Consider the following 19,800-nt stretch of genomic DNA (forward strand, 5'->3'; position numbering starts at 1 on the left):
AAGACTTCTGTTTAGATTCCATAAGTTGGCACCATTTCACATGGCCACTGCTAGCTGCAAAAAAACCTTTCAGGGCTCTGTAGAGTAAAAAAGCAGACAGGGGTCTGGGCATGGTGGCTCACGCCTGTAATCCCAGCACTTTGGGAGGCCAAGGTGGGCGGATCACGAGGTCAGGAGATCTAGACCATCCTGGCTAACACGGTGAAACCCAGTCTCTACTAAAAATACAAAAACAAAATTAGCTGGGCATGGTGACAGGCGCCTACAGTCTCAGCTACTTGGGAGGCTGAGGCAGGAGAATGGTGTGAACCCGGGAGGCGGAGCTTGCAGTGAGCCAAGATCCTGCCACTGCACTCCAGCCTGGGTGACAGAGCAAGACTCCGTCAAAAAAAAAAAAAAAAAAAAAAAAGCAGACAGGGGATGGGAATGGTTGTCAATAGATTCTGTCTCCAGTAATTGCCTCCCAAACAAAATTAGATGTTTCAGTGGTCAGATACTTAAAATTCTGAACTTTGTTCTCATCCATCAAGTGTGTTGCCCAGTTTTCAACAAAATTGTGGCAGGGAGAGGAAGAAGCCAGAGCAAAGGAACTGCTACCAGCTCCAACCTGATGCATTCATAGTTGATAAAACTAAAGGATAAGAACGTAAAATTAGGAGAATAATCCTGCAGAAGAATTCAAGACATAGGGTAGCCTGGGTTCATTTAAAATAGACATAAGAAGTTTCTTATCTTTACACTAGGGTACAATAAAGGAGCATAACAGTGGCCTCTGAGTTTTCAAGAAGAAGGAAATTATGTTCAGTATTTTTTCTAATAAAGAGGAGATAGCGGAAAGATTTATCTTCTGTTTTCATAGTTAAAAATGTGATATTATGTAAAAATGCAAACTCTGATAGGCCATCTGGACAACTTTACACTAGAGAAGAGTTTCTGAGACTTTTAGATTTTACAAGACTCCACCTTTTTTTTTTTTTAACAAGGAAACAAATATGTGAATGTACTGGAAAAATTTCATCCGTGTTTACCATCATTTTATATAGAAGGTCATTTTAGTACTCAAAAGAATTAGCCATACAATTTTAAAATTAAAAGTCTTTCAGTTGAGGAAAAGTTAAACTTTATGAAAAAAAATCATATTTTTTCATTTTTTTTTCCATTATGGTGCAAATGCATGCAAAAACTTGGTCACAGATCAGCACCAGCCCAGGGATGAATGTTGAGAGACTGCTGTGAAGGATTTTGAATATCTGGGATTTGCTTTTTTTTTTTTTTTTAATCTTTTCCAAGCATATATGCCATTCCTATTTGCTTGGTAGCTGTTGTGTGTTACCAGCCCACTGTCAGTTACATACATGATGTGATTTGTTGTGTGTGGTGTTTCTCCTCTGTTGTCTGCAGTAATTGTCTTGTTTTTGGGTTAAGGTTGGGATGGCAGACACTATGCATATGCTATCATTGACTCCATCCTATGCCAATGTCAAACTATTCACAGAATTTTTACTGTTAAGACTAAAAATGATACCAGATCCTGTCTCAGCACAACGTTTAGGAAAGCCACATCCAATCCATCAAAGCTAGCACATAAAATCCCTCTGTTCTTCTTGAGTTAGATATTATTCCCAGAAGGCCTTCATGAAAATGTGCTTGTTATGTGAAAGGGGAAACTTATTGACATATCAGTTCAGAATAACCAGGTTGTTACATGGCAAAGAGAGGAGTACCAATGGAATAAAATAGAAGTCAATTATCGTTTAAAGCCCTTCAAAGAGCAACCTGAAGGCAACTTCTGAGTGGAGGTGAGAATACTATCAAACGCATTGGCATTGAGCTCATGCAGCTCCCCAGCTCAGATGCTCCCGATGGTTTCTCATGCACTCATCAAATTTAGTGGAGCCTTCTCAATCTGGATTTCCACCAAATATACTGGACAAACTTCAGCAAATCTGTCATTGATCCCAGATGTTGATGCATTTCCATCTCTGGGCTTTGATGCTTAAGTGTTCTAGGTAGGTCATTGCATATCAGTACAACTATTAGGAGAATATTGTGTAAATCCATCTCTTAAGCACCATCTCTTCCATGAGTTCCTTCCAGAAATCTTTGCTTTTTTCCTCCCTCCTAAATAATGTCATAAAATGACCTTTCCTATGCTTCCGTAAGGAGCATTCTCAGGATTAGAACTAACCACAGTGTTAAATAGAACAACCTGGAAGTGTTCAAACTGTGGTAGGACAGAGTCTAAAATATATATTTATTGTAATCATAATTTTACTTAAATCCATTTAAGTAAAAAATATATATGTAAGGACATTAGGAACATGAAAAATAGTTACCCATAATCCCAGAAAACAAACGCATTGACATTTTGTTGCATTTCTTTCCTGACTCTTTTTTTTTGGGTGAGGGGAGTTCTATATATTGTTATATATTTATATTTCACTCACACAACAAGTACTTATTGTGTGAGTGCTATATGCTGTGTGCTAGGCACACTTTTCTAGACAAATACAGAAACATGTTTGTTTTCATGTAATGTGATTTTATATTCATATACATGCATATGTGTGAGATTTCATAGTTTCTGAAACATCATTCAACATTAGTGTACGCAAGTTTATACAATATTGATGGATTGGATGTGGCTTTCCTGAATGTTGTGCTGAGATAGGATCTGGTATCATTTTTTGGCCTTAACAGTAAAAATTCTTGTGAATAGTTTGACATTGGCATATGATGGAGTCAATGATGCCTATGTATAGTGTCTGCTACCTCAAACTTAAACTAAAAGCAAGCTATTTGTGTTGTTATTAATTTTTCAATTAATAGATGGTATGTATGTTTCTTACAGCATTTGATTCATATTGACATATTTCTTTCCAATACATTAGACACTTTTTTTTTTTTTTTTTTTTTTCTGAGACAGAGTCTCCCTCTGTTGCCCAGGCTGCAGTGCAGTGGCACAATCTCGGCTAACTGCAAGCTCCGCCTCCCAGGTTCACGCCATTCTCCTGCCTCAGCCTCCCATGTAGCTGGGACTACAGGTGCCCGCCACCACGCCTGGCTAATTTTTTGTATTTTTAGTAGATATGGGGTTTCACCATATTAGCCAGGATGGTCTCGATCTCCTGACCTCATGATCCGCCCACCTTGGCCTCTCAAAGTGCTGGGATTGCAGGCATGAGCCACCAAGCCTGGCCTAGATACATATTTTACCTCTATTAGCGATACCTGACAAAAAAAAGCTGGCTTCATTGTCCCTTAACTTATATTTTAAATTAACTCACATTTTATAGGGTAAAAACATGCTACACAATCATAGTATTAATTTGCTTTTGTTTGATTTCTAATAAGGATGATGTTTTTAAAATATTGACTAGTTGGAAATTGCCAACTTTTATGGATTTAAATTACCCCTTTCTAGATTGTTCTTAGTTATTCTCCCATTAATAATTGTGTTCTCTTTAACAAGGATGGCAATCTGTTATTTTTACATATTTTCAAACATTACAGTTCATTCTTTCATTTTATCTATGTTTTTATAACATGCAAAAGCTTAAAAAACAATTTATGAGCACAGTGTCATTGCTTGTCCTCTTTGTGATTTTTCTCTTCTACAGTAATTATAAAAACTCTTCTTCTCTTCAGAGATTTGATGAATATCCAACTTCAGTTTTTCAATAGTTTGTTTTAAAAAAATATTTAAGTATAGTCCAGCCAAATCTGTTTTGGTAAATGATGTGAGGTGAGGCTCTAAATGGGTTTTCCCTCAAATTACTAAATATTTATTAAAATAAAATTTATTGAATAATTGATCATCCCCTGTGATTTGTGTTGTACTATCCAGGATTTAAATTTTACAGAGAGTACACTACACTCTCTCTCGTCAAAAGAACCAGTTTGAAATCTAAAAATCAAAATACTTCTTAAAAATGCAAAATATTGTGATATTCATGTCTAATTCAGGGTATACATGGCAGATATTTTGAAATAACTCTCCAAGTAGAGAAAAACATTAAAATCACTATTGTACCAATTTCAGAATATGCTTTCAATGTCTCCTTTGTAGACAGAAACTTTAGACTGCCGTACAAATGACAGGGTAGCTTCAGTTGTGCAAGATAGTTTTCAGCAACATTATGGAGTCATACTATAGGCATGAATTATTAGCACAAATATTTATTAAATAACTAGAAGGATGTTAATAGTAATATTATTGGTAATAGTGTAAAAATAAACTAAGCTTCATAAAGAGGAAACTCTCTCTAAAAACCAAGCATTACATAACAATTATTAAAACTGATTTTAGAATGTCAATAACCTGAAAATATTCATAGAATATTATTAAGTTAAAACATAAAGTAGTTCATAAAAGAGAAGGTACAGTATGACCTCATATTGGTAAGACAAAAAATATATAGTGTTTTATGCTCAAATGTTATTTTTTCTATGTAAATCAGAGGAAAAATATTTGAAATATCTCTAACACATCATTATGAAGATCACCTAATTTTCTTCATGTGGATATAGTATATATCTACATAAACACACCAGGATTAAGTAGCTGCCTGCAGTAGTTCTTACCTTGATTCTAATTTCTAACTATACATGGACAATTTGCATTAGGGGAAATTACTTTGAAGAGGTTGGATCAACAGCATAAAAACACCAGATTTTACTTTCTTAGGATACTGGGTTTTTGTTCAAACAGTAAAGTGAAACTCAAACACAAACCTCCTGTCTTCCTTTGTCTGTGCCATTAACAAAATTTTGTGATAAACTTTCAGGAAGCACTCAGCATCCTCTCAAACACACCCCAAAACACTATACCATTCATTTCTAAGCTAAGCAGAAGAAAGGCAAAAAGTGCATCCCAATAAAAAAACCTTGGGGTAAATGGTTATGTTGAAGTATCCATGCAGAATCTCTTGTTGGGTTTTTTGCCTTGTTCTTAATGTACTTCATGGCCACTGTCTGGAGTTACGGATCAACTGATGGCCACAGGAACAAGGCACTCAGTATAATTTGTTTGGCCTTTAAAAATTCTGCCCTCATAAAAACTGTATTTAGTGTGATTCTGCTATTTTTGTCATTTTGTATTTGCTGACCACTAGAGACATTGATAGTATTCTATTATGCCAGGTAAAATATCCTGCTCTTAGAGCAAAATATTTTAAGATAGTGGTGGATTAACAGTGCAAAAGAAAAAATGACGAGTAAGGCTCTGGAGTTCTCTAGAGATACTAAATTTTCCTATGGAAAGAGCCCTCACGAATGTGACAAAGAGAATGTATATTTTATTTGGGGGATGTAGGAAATCTTTTTGCCCAGAAAGCTAGTTTTTACCCACTGACTAATACAAAACATGACTAAAAAGTAATCTGAGAAATCCCACAAGCCACATGTGACAATCAGTTTCATCACGTTATAGTCACATCTCATATTCCCTTTATCTCATGCTGTGCCAATCTCAGAAAGGGCCACTGGAATTGGAAACAATAATTGAAGCTTTGAATTCAATGCCAAACAGTAATGTTAATATTCCATTTTGTTAGCATTATAGATAAGGGTGATGGTGGGGGGTGAGGAAAGCTTATATTTTTGTGAAGTGTATGGAAAACTAGTATGAAAGGAAGGACTGTTATGGTGAAGATGGAATGGAAAAAAAAAGAACAGTGTTTCATTTTAAGTGTTAGATTTACGCATAAGTGATATTAAAAGTATTTAATATCCCATACAGCACAGAAAATCCACAAATTCAGAGTAGGTGCCAGAGCTGCCAGTGTCTTCAAGGTTGTCTGCTACTAGGCATTAACATGCCAAAGGTGGACTGGGAGAGGTCTGGGAAGTCCTGGACAGCGGGTGAGAGCAGCCCTGAAGGTGGGTGCTACTCAGGGATCTCAGGACAGAGACTATTTTCCAGTCAGTATAAAAATATATCAATATTTTAACAACTGGAATGCATAGAAGAAGCTAAAGTTATTTCAGAGAATTTATTTGGGGAGTTGTGCCCAGGATTTCAGATTCCCAAGTATTGTTCAGAGCTTAGAATCCAAATGTTTTTAATTTTGAGAGAGTTCTTCCAGGAATTTCTTGCTGTCCCTTTTTTTGTGAGTCCCAGGATCCTCGGACTGACCTTTCAGCTGACTTTGGTTGCTCATGCTTCCCGGCACAAGTCCTAAGAGAGGCAATTTCCATTGGCCTATTGAAATGATTAACAAGATCATTTTCATGTTGCTCCTGGTAGAAACAGCTGTCAAGATAGTGACCTTGTCCTAGGACTGCTGGCCTCCTCTGAATCCCTCCTCTAAGGCTGATGGCTTGTGCCCACAGCCACCTATCAGTGCTTCTCTTTAAGTTCCTGAGCAGCTCTAATAGCCATGCTGAGCCCCAAAATCTGGGCCTGACTTGGAGGAAACACCACTTACCATAGGCACCTTTTTAAATTGTTCATTAAAGGTGTCAAAACACACATTTGTTCCATGGACAGAAAACTCCACTTGCCCTAGGAAGATACACTCACTGACAGGCCCTGGTGTGTGATGCTCCCCGCCCTGCGTCCATGTGTTCTCATTGTTCCATTCCCACCTATGAGTGAGAACATGCGGTGTTTGGTTTTCTGTCCTTGTGAAAGTTTGCTTAGAATGATGGTTAACATAAAATTCCTTTAACTTTGTCAGAAGGAAGAAGTAGGAGAATTGATCTCCAGCAGGCTTCCTTAAACCCGCTAATGGCTTCACCTACATTTGTATTTTAACACATCTGCCCTTATCTAATATTTGGATTTTCATCTTAGTGTTTTGTTTGTTTGTTTGTTTTGTCACTTTTGGGAGCAGAGATCGTTTGTTTCTGAGCATCATTTGTTTTCTACAGAACATATGCCTGATTTAACCGTAAATAACCTGCTCTATAAAGTAAGTTTCCACTTATTTTCTCTCTCTCTCCCTCTCTCTTTCTCATTTTAGATAGAGTTTTCTCTACCTTGCCCAGACTGAACTTGAACTCTGGGGCTCAAGGTGATCCTCCAGCTCCTGAGGGGCTGGTGATTACAGGTGCATGCCACCATGCTCAGCTCTTATTTGTCTCATTTTTTCTTGGGAAGTTTAACTTTAAGCCACCCTAAATACGTCTCCATGATTTTTACGGTCGATAAAATTGTTTCCATTTTTAATCAAATTGAAAAAATATTTTATTTTAAAATGTTTTCCTCACCAAGCTTTTTTAAATTATTTATTTCTTTTTTTTTTAAATTATACTTTAAGTTCTAGGGTACACGTGCACAACGTGCAGGTTTGTTACACAGGTATACATGTGCCATGTTGGTTTGTTGCACTCATCAACTGGTCATTTACATTAGGTATTTCTCCTAATGCTATCCCTTCCCCAGCCCCCCACACCCCGACAGGCCCCGGTGTGTGATGTTCCCCGCCCTGTGTCCATGTGTTCTCATTGTTCAATGCCCACCTATGAGTGAGAACATACAGTGTTTGGTTTTCTGTCCTTGTGATAGTTTGCTTAGAATGATGGTTAACATAAAATTCCTTTAACTTTGTCAGAAGGAAGAAGTAGGAGAATTGATCTCCAGGTGAGGTAATTTTATAAACTGATGATTACACAAAAAGAGAAAGAAAGGCGGCACAAGTATTACACAAAAAGGTAGAGATAATGATAAATTCTGTTAAAATTAATGTAGGGAAATGCAAATCACTCTGAGAAAAATCATAGTAGAAATATTTCTGATAGATCGATGGGATCTCTTTTTAATTGCTTTTCAGTTCTCCTATTACTTGTCTTCCTAGGCTTTAAAACTTTAAAAATAAGCAAAGAATAGGAATCATTTTCCAAAAGCTTTCAAAAATCTGACATTGATTCATTGATATACAACCCATTAGCCTAGAATTTCATCTCTTCATCTATCATTTCAATTATCCCCTGATTTCTCTGGGGCATTTGATAAATGGGAGACCATTTACATTTGGTGCATTAATGACCTTGGTACATTTTGAAAATGTGTCCCCTGCCCCCATTATATATGTATGTTTTTTAAAGCTACCTACTAGGTCTTCAAGCATGCTAAGGGACAGAATGACATCCATGTAACTCCATTACTTGGACATCATTAAAAAATAAAATTCTGAAAATGTGGTGTTTCCATGATGATATGATGTTATTACATCTATAAAAATAAGTAACTATTTAAGGGTTAAAAGATACCTATAGAAAAAGAAGCAGAAGGATATTGTTCCAAATAAATGTGGACATTTTGGTTTTCTTCCACTTTTGAGTCTACTGCCCAAAGCATTTTATATTAGAGTTCGTTACAAAACAAGGTGTTTTTGTTTTAGTGGTGATTTTTTTAATCTATTTTTTTTTACCATGGTGAGAAATTTGTTTTTCTAAAATCCTTTGTTGGCTTGCCCCCAAATGTACAACAACCAAAAGCCACATTATATATAAGATATATAGTAAATATATTGTTTATATAAAATATAAAGTATATATAAACTATATATTTATATATAATATATTAAATATTTTATATTATATAATACTTAATGTTAAATGTTTACATATGTTATATATTGTGTGTATGTTTCTTTCAGGGAGGGGAGGGTGGTGTGGTAGAGGGGCACACCAGTAGGCTGTGCTCTACCATTACTCTAGCAGCCTCAGATGAAGCAGAGATGCTCCAAATGAAGCTGTCACCCGGTTTTCTTGAATATAATTTGGTCATCAAGATATTTGAATTGGAAACACTCTGGAAGAAATAAGTGTCTACTATGAAGGAGCTATTGGGCATTTCTACTGCCTTTGAGCTCCCAAAGTTTAAATTTTGTGAGCAATAGTTAACAGTCTAGTTCTTTAAGAATACTATCTCTCTACAGAATACTATCTAACTAGTGTGAGACCCTGGCTTTCAATTTTTTTTATATTATTTGAAACACACCAATTATCTTCATTGAAAAGAAATTTATATTTCTTCAATGAACTTATATCAAATATGAAGAATCATTTATGCTTTTGTCTCTTTTCCTGGTTTTTTGTCTTTGATTTCCTGGTTAATTTTGTGATGTTGCTTGCCACATCTTTGATAAAATAAAATTCTGTAAAATAAGAATAAACATATTTTTGTTAAAGGTGCTTTGAAATTATTAAATAAGAGATTTGAGTTGAACACTTTAGAGAATTGGTAAATCAACAACATTTCTGAGAAACAAAAGCTATTGATATTTTTCTTTGAATGTAATATTTAAGTTCGTATCTCAATGCAAGCGAATAATTTTAGGGCTAAAATAGTAGCTTACAGGTCAGTTAATTCACCATCTTCACTCCCTTGTAGAAACTGAGATATTTGAGGTAAGACTGTGGGATAATATTTATTACTAGACAAAAGTTTCTTTATAACTTTGTCAAAATCCAGAAGGTAATGGTTGGATTTGACTTGAGGAGAACTCCTGAGTTTCAGCTCTGTTTCCCAGCTCTTCAAGGTTACAGTCTAGTCTGTTTTGACAGATGGCTCCTTTATGTCCAGGGCCTCTGAGCGGACATGTGCAAACCTGGAATGCACTAGAAAAGGTCAAGTGTTCATTGCGATATAGCCCTCAATTGTTATCTTTTCGGATGACAAGGATATATTCTATTTATCTATATATCTTCTGGCACCTAACACAATGTTTAGCACATACAAGGCACTTCATAATTTTTGATGAGTGAATAAATGAGTGAAAGAATGGCTGAATGAATGAACACTTTGTTTACTTAGAGGTTACTAGAGCCATTTACAAATCATATGGGAAATACTCAGGATGCAGATAGTAAAGAAAAAAAAAAAGACTCAATGCCAGTGAGCCACAGAAATTAAAGTCAAGAGAGAAAATTGGAAATCATGAGATTTATTTATGTGGGAAATTTTAATTTCTGTTCAGGTAACTCAGATTTACTTCTTTGGCTTTTCTCTTTTGGGACAGGCGTCACCGGAGCACCAGCCAAATGTCGAAGTTGGGAACTGGGTTCTTTATTGTTAGGCGTAGACTGGTACAAGCATTTTCTGCCAGAAGTATCAGTTGAAATCTGGGCCCAAGGGGCCAGCCTAGGAAAAGAGAAAAGGTGAGGTTCAGCTACCAGAAAGGAGCTGAACAAGGAGCCAAAAGAGAGAATCCAGGTCAAGAACACAAAACTAAGATTTTAAGTTCTGTTAGACACAGGGATCACAGTAAAGCAGACTGTTAACAAGCAAGGAGGAGGAAAAGGTAAAGAGTCCTGAACAGTTGCCTCAAATTTCAACCTATTATTTTGTCTCAATTTTCTGAACTCACCGATGAGGTATGTGGAAAGATCAAGCAGAGTTGACAAATGTTTTCAGACTTGCTACTCCACTGATGAGCAGCCTTGAATTTCCAATTGCATGCTGGACTTTCTCCCGAGTGTTTCTTTGGCACTGCATATTTAACATATCTAAAATGAAAAATAACTTCCCTTGTATTTTATTGTCAGAAAAAATAGTCCAAGATTGGAAATGGGTGAAAAAGATTATAGGGTGTCTATCCTTTCAGTGGAGCGCTAAGCATTTCTGAAAGCTTAGAAGTTAAGTTGTTAGAAAACTGATAGCCATGCAAATGATTCCTCTTTTGTCCCATTGAGACAGAATTGATTTCTCCTCTATGGAAAAGATGATCCAAATCACTGTATTGCCTTTTACATGATATGAATCAGCTTGGCATATATTAGGAAATTATTTCAGGATTCCTGATTATCTATGTGTGTGTGTGTGTGTGTGTGTGTGTGTGTGTGTGTGTGTGTGTGTGTTTTACTGGTTTGTTAATAAGTTGAATAAAATCTTTAACATATTCAATTTGCAGGAGAGTCATGTTTTTAACTTTTTGAAAATTATATTAACATCCTTATTAACTATTAATGTTTCCACCATCCTAAACGCTTGGTACCATTGAACTTTCTACTTCTCTGGATCTCCATTATATAATCAGTTTCCAAGTTAAATGCTCTTCACTTCAATCCCTTTTTCACTGTTAATGAGTCAGTTTGAGTCCCTGCTATTTTGCACTAAGGCTGATCCAATGATCCAATACTCTCCAAAGTGATCTTCCAAATCTGTCTCCCACACCATTACACTCCAAACTGAAAAGCCAAATCTTTCCATTTAAACCTAGGTCATTGGGACTTTTTTGGCTCAAAAATCTCATTTGACTTCCTATTAACTAACAAATCCAGTCCCCAAATGCCAGCTTCTTAATAGAGATCCCAGTTACCTTCCTAGGCCTATATTCACTTGGATTAGTGAGCTAGAGGTGCCGTAACAAACTAACACAGATGGAGTGTCTTAAACAACAGAAATTTATTTCCTTATGATCTGGAGGCTAGAAGTCCAAGATCAAACTGCTGGGAGGATTGATTTCTTCCAAGGGCCTCTCTCCTTGGCCCATAGATGGTCATCTCTGTCAGTGTCTTCATAGGTTCCTCCCTCTCTGTCTGTCTGTCTGTGTCATATTCTCCCTTTCTCATAAGGATACCAGTGAAATTGGGTTAGGACCCACCCATATCATCTAATTTTGTTTTAATTATCTCTTTAAAGGCCGTATTTCTAAATACAGTCATGTTCTAAAATACTGGGGTTAGGACTTCAAAATGTGAATTTTGGAGGAAAAAATTTAGCCCATAAAACTCCTAAAGAAAGAAAATAAAAATACATGTTTGTTGAATGCATACCATGAGTCAAGCACTGCATTTTATACTTTCACATAAGTTAAAAAATGATTGATTCATTTTTCCTGAATTATCCCAATCCAGATTTTACTTGTAATATATCACCTCAGCTAAGATTCCTTCCTTGTTAAGAATCCTGGTGTCCTCCTCTGAGAGGACACATTTTTCCCTTTTACACTACTTTCACATTCTTCCTGGTTTGATGATTATTTTGTACTTTATTTTTTCCAACAATGCATTATTAATTCCTTGAAGTCAAGGCCATTAATGACTCTTAGAATGCCTGTGAAGTATATGACCTGTTGTTCAGAATATAAATATTTGTTAAATAAAGAACTCAAAGGAAGAAGGGAAAAGTTTATAAAAGAAAGAAGGGAGTATGACCAAGGTTTTTTGGCAAGGGGTGGATGAGGCAAGGGAAAGAATCATGAAAGATGTTCGAGAAGAACCAAAATTATAAGGCTATTAAGTCAGAGGTTAGTAATATATCACATTTGGAACCTAGAGGTTCTAAGACTCTAGACTTTTTATCTTTTAATTGATGGTGTTCTTAGTAAATTATATTCCATTTAAATAGCTTCACACCATAAAGATAAATGTTTTAATTCTGACATCAAATTATTTTAGTATTGGTCCTCATTTCCATTCTATCACCTTGTTTTGAAGATCTGCTTTCAGTTAGATCCTTTGTCTTTCACAATCAGCTGGGGTGTGGCTTAGGAGGACAACTTAAATGTGTTCTGCAATTTGCCGATTTGGTCTGGTTTTTGAAGCATGAAAAGATTTGAAGGCCCCAGCTAATGTGTATTACACATGCCACACCCCCTCAACTATGTCTCAGATTTGTGAGGGTGTGATCTATAACTCCATCTACTGTTGGAGTGCTGGGAAGGGAAGAGCATGGTCCCTTTAAATAATATGGAAGGCTGGAAGGGAAGTGCTGGGGAGAGGAGGACGTGGTCCCTGGTTAGGGCTCCAACCCCATGGGCCTAGGTGAAGACAGGCACTTCTGCCTTCCAACCCAAATGTTGCATTTTCCCAGAGCACCCTGACCCGCCAAGCCCCCCTCCTGTGCCTATAAAAACCTGAGACCCTAGCAAGGCAGACAGAAGCTGCTGGACTGTGAGAGGGACACATTGGCGGAAGAAGACAAGCGGCTGGACATTGAGAGGATGTTGAGGGGAGCACATAGACAGAAGAGCACACTGACCAACCAACACAGGCACTCTGCCAGGCCATCAAGGTGCTGGAAGAGGCAGAGTTTGGCCAGGAGAGCTGGGGCTGCCGAGTGGCCCAACTCCAGGTGAAGATCCCCTCCCTTCTGGCTCCCCATCAGGCTGAGAGCTACTTCCACTCAATAAAACTTTGCACTCATTCTCCAAGCCTATGTGTGATCCAATTCTTCTGGTAAACCAAGGCAAGAAACTCCGGGATACAGAATCCCTCTGTCCTTGTGATAAGGAAGGGGTTCTAATTGAGCTGGTTAACACAAGCTGCCTATAGATGGCCAACTAAAAGAGCACCCTGTAACACACGCCCACTGGGGCTTCAGCTGCAAACATTCACTCCTAGACACTGCTGTGGGGTGGAAGCCCCATGACCTGCCCGTATGTATGCTTCCCTAGAGGTTTGAGCAGCCTGGCACTGAAGAAGCAAGCCACTCCCCCATCGCACGCCCTGCCAGGGGGACAAGGGAACCTTTCCCATTTCACTGTCACCAGACTGTGATATTTTTTGCTGTGAAAATTCCCAAGACAAATTTGTTTCTGTGGCACATTTACCATTGTAACATGGAGCTATAGATATGATGGCTTCAGACATATCAGCCTTAGCACTTTATTATTTTTTTCAAGTCTTAGGCTGCTGTGAAATTTTTAGAAGTTTCTGTTTCCCTGGATTATTTTTAAAAACATCAAATCATTCCTTTAATAGAGTATATTATTATTCAGATCTTTTCTGAAGGAAAGTTTCATCTGATTTCTAAATTTAACGGTATGCCCTTATCTCAAAATTTCAGTCACCATCCACTTACCATGTACTTTTTTCGTTATTGAAGCATTCCAGATGCTTCCTTTTTGAAAAAGAAAAAAGGACTAAATTTAACGGTATGTACAGAGACTATTGTGTGTGTGTCTTGGGAGGAGTATAAATATGAGCTCCCATTAAAGTAAGATCTTCTAAATTGAGAATTGTAAGTTGTTTTTATGCTTCCGTTCGTGTGGCTCTGTGCTGTGTCTGAGGAACATAGGAATGAAGAAGACATTGTGTTGGCTCACAGGACGTCTATAGTCACCTGAGGAAAGATACAAATAACCAAGTATGAGTTAACTAGTGGTTTCCAACAAGGAACGACTGTACCCCCAGGAGACATTTGCCAGTCGAGATGGGGATTTACAGCAGGAAGTTAGATATATAAATATAAAGATTAGCAGAGCACTGGGCTAAAGATATATATATATATGGTAGTAATAACACAATAGTTCTTGAAATCAAAAGACTGATAAAATTATCCAGCAAGAGTGTGTGGGTGATGAGGACACTAGATGAGGGACACCTGCAATCAAAAGGATGGACACAAAGGAATACCAAAGATAACTGAATAAAATAATAATAATATTGAACATTTTGTAGAACCCATACTATTTTTAAAAAGTTCTCCTAAGCACTTATATGAATGCTCATAATTAGCCTGTTATTGTCAGCGTTTTTGTATAATGATTGAAGCAGGAATCAACAGTATCAAATGCAACAGAGACATCATTACAATGAGTACTAAAAGTGTCCATAGATCTGGCAATTAGGAGGTCATTGGAAGCCAGAGCCCAGTGGGTAGAAAAGTAAAATGTTGATGGGCAAGTAGAGAAGTTTAAGCCAAAAAAGTTTGGATTAAAAGGAAAGGAAAAGAAAATAAATGACCATGTTATAATGGGAACAAACTAAAAAGAGGTCATGTTTTTCATGGTGGAAGACATGGAAGAATGTAAGAGGAGCAGCCATCGTTTATACACCTCGAGGAAACCGAAGAAGATGCCTTATCAACTCTGAGAGGACTGGGAAGTTTGACAAACCAGGACAGGCAAAGAGACATAAGAGGTCATGCTTGGGCCTCAACTGAAATTGGACACTACTTGCTCTGTCCGTCAGTCCAACAACTCCTTTTTGAAATCTCTCTCCTGATAAGTTGGACTTATCTGAACTATGCTTTCAGGAGGACTTTTGCCTGTCTCATCTTCCTCACTTATCAGGACAACATTCTACAAAACCAAATCACAGAAACAGTAATACTATTATCTGCCTCCTTTACTCCTAAAACCCAGGGAATTCAATGACCAGTGAAAAACTGCACACTGTGGGACACACACAGGCTATCCTGAGACATGAGGGTTCCCCAAATGAGTGTTACAGAATTTGCTAATTCTTTGTGGTTGTTTTAGCAGAGCATGTAAATGCATATTGAACACTTTTTTCCATTAATGCAATGCTTATATGGAAGAATATTTTTCCTTCGCTGAACATTTTCCTACTTCTGTATCTTAGTCTGATAAAAATATGTTTTCCATATTATTTCTAGTCTCTATCATTTATTCAACTACAAATACTGAATATCTACTATATACTAGGTGCTGGTTTGTCAGATGCACACACGCTGTGACACTAGAAGAGCTCACAGTCTATAGGTAAAACAGATAGATTAATAGCTATTTAAAATGGAAAAGTATAAGTGATTTAATAGATATAGTAAATGATTGTGTAAGCTAATGCAGTAAGTAACTATACCCTCCCTCCCCCATAAAATAAGTTTTCTTCTCAAATACTGACTCACTTTCATTTTTTCAAATGGATTGTCAAGAATAGAAACACCCCATTCTCTTTGCTTGATGAATTTTTTTTCCTGTTTCTTTCTCTCTTTTCTCTTTGGTTCTCACCCTGCCAATTCTCTGCAGGTGCTCCTTTTATATTCTGAAATCCCAGTTAAGGGACTTTCTCACTGATTATAATGACATAGGTCTGTTTTCACAGCTGTAATTTTAAAGTTTCTTAATAATGCAATGTTTTAAACATTATTCTGAAATGCTAGAAGGTTTCAGGGTGCTCAAAAAGTAAACAGGCTCGTATAAAAAGAAGGGAACAGTTATAATAAAAAATTCAACAATTTGTATCAGATCATTGGCACTTCATTGAAAATCTCAAGCTCTTGAGACAACAAAATTTTCCCCCAAGGGGAACTAATTCACTAGACATGTGTATACATTAGAACCAGATGAAGGTGATGCAGTGAAATTGGAAAGACAATTCCTGGGCTTATTAGAAGCTGGAGACCAAGTATTTGTATGTCTACTGACTTCTTTGGCCTTGGCAAGAATCGTTTTCCCAGGAGAGCAGATTTGGGGAATTTGCATTTATGTTCATGATCACCTTTGACATCTGAAACTCTGAGGACTTGACACCGAGTATTACTATTATTATAAACAGAGCTCCCAAGCTGTTAAGCTCAAACTGCTACTTTGGTGTTAACAAGAATGGGTGCCACATGGTGTGCATATGCTGTTTGTGAAAGTAAATGATGCTTTAAGAGTGTTTTACTCTCAAAAGGAAGTCTACTAGGCAGATAGCTTGTATTGAAACTCTGTATATGTTCTCATTTGACCATCATAAACAATGTTTAAAGAGCCAAGGTTGTTACTTGAGAATAAATCAGGGAGCTCTGGAACATTTGGGTGGATATATTCACTACAAAGCATTAGAGACATTTCCCCCTATGTTTATCCTTTTAAAAATGTATGTATTTCACTTCAGGTCTCGATAGATCTTTCAGATTGTATCTTAATAGAGCTTCCTCAGCACAGAAGTGATTTATTTCTTTCAATGGAGGATTTACTTGAATCTACTATTTAGGAATTTAGCATAACTGGGTATAGAATTCCTTTACCTTGGATAGACTAAAAAACTCCCAAGACTGATTTAAAACAATTTAAATGTTGAATAATGCTATTTCCCTATGCGTTTGCTTTGTGAGTTAAACTGATGAAGATTTAATCTTCTTTTTCACAGTTTCTTTTGTCTATAAAACTAAAGATCCATTTTTATAAAAGATTTTTCTTTACTTTGTTTTAGAAAGAGATTTGATATCTGAATGGTAGTGGTAATGAAATTCTCTGTGGGTTAGGCTTTGAGGAAGAAATACTAACGTGAAATTAATGAAATATTAACAAATAAATTGAGTTCATAATGGTAACCATTTCCCTATGTTATATGTGATAACATATAACTTATGTATACGTAGTTTTGAGCTTTGCATCTGATCACTCTTAGCCAACAAATCTTTTCTAAAAATAAGGCAACTGGGGAAACCTATAATAAATAACTTAGCAAAATGAGGCGATGAACTTTTCAGCTACCATAAGCCTTTTCTCCCCCTTTAAGTAATGTATTTTATCAGGACTGAAATTCTAATGTATGATAACCTGAAATTTGAGTTTAAAAATGAACACAACTGAAATATAATAAGGCATTTTTCATCTCTTTTAATATTTTATATATTCTCATTCTTCATGAGAAATGGCTGCAGCACGCAAGCTGCCAGGTTAATCTTGCTTAAATTTGGCAATCAACAAGTAACTTTGTGCACAAACTGTTGGAGTACCATGCAAGGCAAGCAAAGGAGTTTAGATTTGATGCAATAATAGAGGGAGAGCTATCGACAGAGCAAGAGAATAATAAGATGCAAATGCCTTTTAAGGACAATTAGTCTGGAAACCAAGAAAAAAATGGGCTTGGCGGAATGAAAACATACAGACAAAGAGACAGCATTTGTATCATGTGAAGAATCTGGCATCAACTCAGAAGCCTTCTTTTTCACCTGGCGTGATTCAAAGTAAATTACAGTGAAGAAAAGGCCATTAGGCTCACAATAAGGAGACTTGGTAACTTGAAGAATGTATTTTTAAAAGTATGGAAATAGCTGTCAACATGAGGGGACTTTGAAAAGGAAGTTACTGGGGATATAAATAGATGTAATGGGTATAAGGAATGAAGCCTGAGGCAGGAAACAGAAAAATAATTTTTAAAAAGTTGCCAGAGGAAGAAGCAACATTATTTCCAGTTTTTAGAAAAGACATGAGCAATTCACTACAAGAGTTATACACAATGAAGATGAGTATGTTTCAATAATTAAATTAGTGACTTTGGGGAAAAATTCAAATTGCTGAGTAGAGATCCTAAAAAGTCCATTCCCTAACCAGTTAACTTCTAAGCCTAGATAATTCACTATTAAATATTTAGGCATATCTTATATTTTGGGATTCAGCAAATGGTTCGATTTCCTATGATAAATTTTGTAAATGTGTTTACTTTCCCAAGTGACAGATATTTCACAAGGGCCATAAGAGAGGTAAATGGGGAGATTCTTTGGTTTCCCTTTTTAAAGGCAGGAAGCAGCCAGTTCTTGGTTTGCATAAAGAAACTGGAAGAAAAGCACAGAGATAAAATAGAAATGTTCACTAATATTTTCATGAGTCAAGTTTTATAGCCACAGCTGTCTCCAGCAGGAATGGAATTTACAGTGTCAATGGGTATTAGAAAGAGATGGGCTGGAGGAAGAAGATTGGAAGGATGGGCACTTAGCATGTATGCAGAAGTGAACTAATCTGCCTACATAGCAGGAGCTGAATTTTATACCAAAACTTTCTCTGCAATTATAAAAGGCTTTAGATGTTTAGTTTCAAAGACATGCAGGTTGACCAGCAGTTTAAAGAGTTGTGAGCTACTGGATAATGATCTCAATCCAACTACTTTCCTTTGCCCAAATAGAATTCTTCAACCATCAGCAGTAATTAGTTGGCTTTTAGCTTTTGGGCACCAGACAATGGATCGTGATCCATAGTGGCTATCATGTGGGAGATGAGGCTGCAGGTGAAAGGTGAAAGGAACTTTTCACTTCCCAAGCTTCCAAAAAGCAAGTGTCTTCTCCTATTTTTAGCCTGCTATATTAATACTATATGTGTGTGTTTATATGTGTAGGTGTATGTTCTAAGTCACATTTCTCTTGGTTACTTGCTCCTTTTTACTGAAGATCATTTACATTTGGATCTATCATATGCCAATTCTAGTTAATTATGTTTATGAAAGATCCTGGTCTTAGTTAATGAAAGATTAAGAACAGTGTCTATTTTTTCCTTTTATTATGGATCTTTACTCTTACTGAAATTTTCTGTTTTAAAAGTCAAAATAAAATTTAGCTTATAAACAGTTTAGAAAGTTTATTTTTCTAGTCTTTTCTAGTTATGGAAAATGTAATATTTGAAAGACAAGTATCTATAACAAATCAAATTGATGTTTAAACACAAAAGATACATTTGCCAAATTGCTTCTCCTCCCTGATGCTACTTTAGGGACATATAAAACAAGAAATGGAAATTAATTTTTATCATGTGCATGTCGGTTTCCCTTTCTCTGAAATTCACTGATTTCTTTCAAATTTGAACACTCCAGCTTTTATCTCTTCTGGTCTTCAGTGCTAGACTCCCCCAGCTTTTCTCCAGTTCTATTGTTGTGACAGTATCACAATTTACTTTCTTCATTTTGAGGATTTGTTTGTGTTGTTATTCCTATTTTTTGTGAAAGGAAAATAAATCTTGGGGCCCCAAAATCACTAAGCTAAAGGGAAAGTCAAGCTGGGAACTGCTTAGGGTAAACCTGCCTCCTGATCTATTCAGAGTCACACCTCTGCTAACTGAGATAAATGCATAGCTAATTGCCTCTTTGGAGAGGCTAATCAGAAACTCAAAAGAATGCAACTATTTGTCTCTTACCTATGTATGACCTGGAAGCCCCCTCCCCACTTTTAGTTGTTCCACCTTGGCTTGGAGTTGTCCTGCCTTTCTGGACTGAACTAATGTTCATCTTACATATGATGATTAATGTCTCATGTCTCCCTAAAATGTATAAAACCAAACTGTGCTCTGACCACCGTGGGCATATGTCAGTCATCAGGATCTCCTGATGCTGAGTCACGGGCACACATCCTCAACCTTGGCAAAATAAAGTTTCTAAATTAACTGAGACCTGTCTCAGATCCTC

The 19,800-nt window shown here is 36.6% G+C and overlaps 1 long non-coding RNA gene and 1 pseudogene across 2 annotated transcripts in view, besides 1 other annotated feature; one reads left to right on the forward strand and one right to left on the reverse strand.

Annotated features, from left to right (window-relative positions):
* The window catches only part of EGFEM1P (EGF like and EMI domain containing 1, pseudogene), a 581,078-nt pseudogene that overhangs the window by 350,039 nt on the left and 211,239 nt on the right, over positions 1-19,800 (forward strand). The window lies entirely within an intron of this gene.
* Positions 9,878-19,759, reverse strand: LOC105374200 (uncharacterized). Its single transcript, XR_001741015.2, has 3 exons — positions 13,754-19,759; positions 10,317-10,455; positions 9,878-10,090 (listed from the first exon to the last, which is right to left on the reverse strand). It is a non-coding gene; the product is annotated as an uncharacterized LOC105374200 (long non-coding RNA).
* Positions 17,524-18,140: an enhancer, noted in NCBI's record as "H3K4me1 hESC enhancer chr3:168334872-168335488 (GRCh37/hg19 assembly coordinates)". NCBI's record gives its function as "activates a minimal SCP1, AML or CMV promoter by ChIP-STARR-seq in naive H9 embryonic stem cells {active_cell/tissue: H9 hESC(naive)}" and the evidence as "EXISTENCE:reporter gene assay evidence [ECO:0000049][PMID:30033119]".

The sequence above is a fragment of the Homo sapiens genome, chromosome 3 (genome assembly GCF_000001405.40).
Source record: "Homo sapiens chromosome 3, GRCh38.p14 Primary Assembly".
In the NCBI taxonomy this organism is placed as follows: Eukaryota; Metazoa; Chordata; class Mammalia; order Primates; family Hominidae; genus Homo; species Homo sapiens.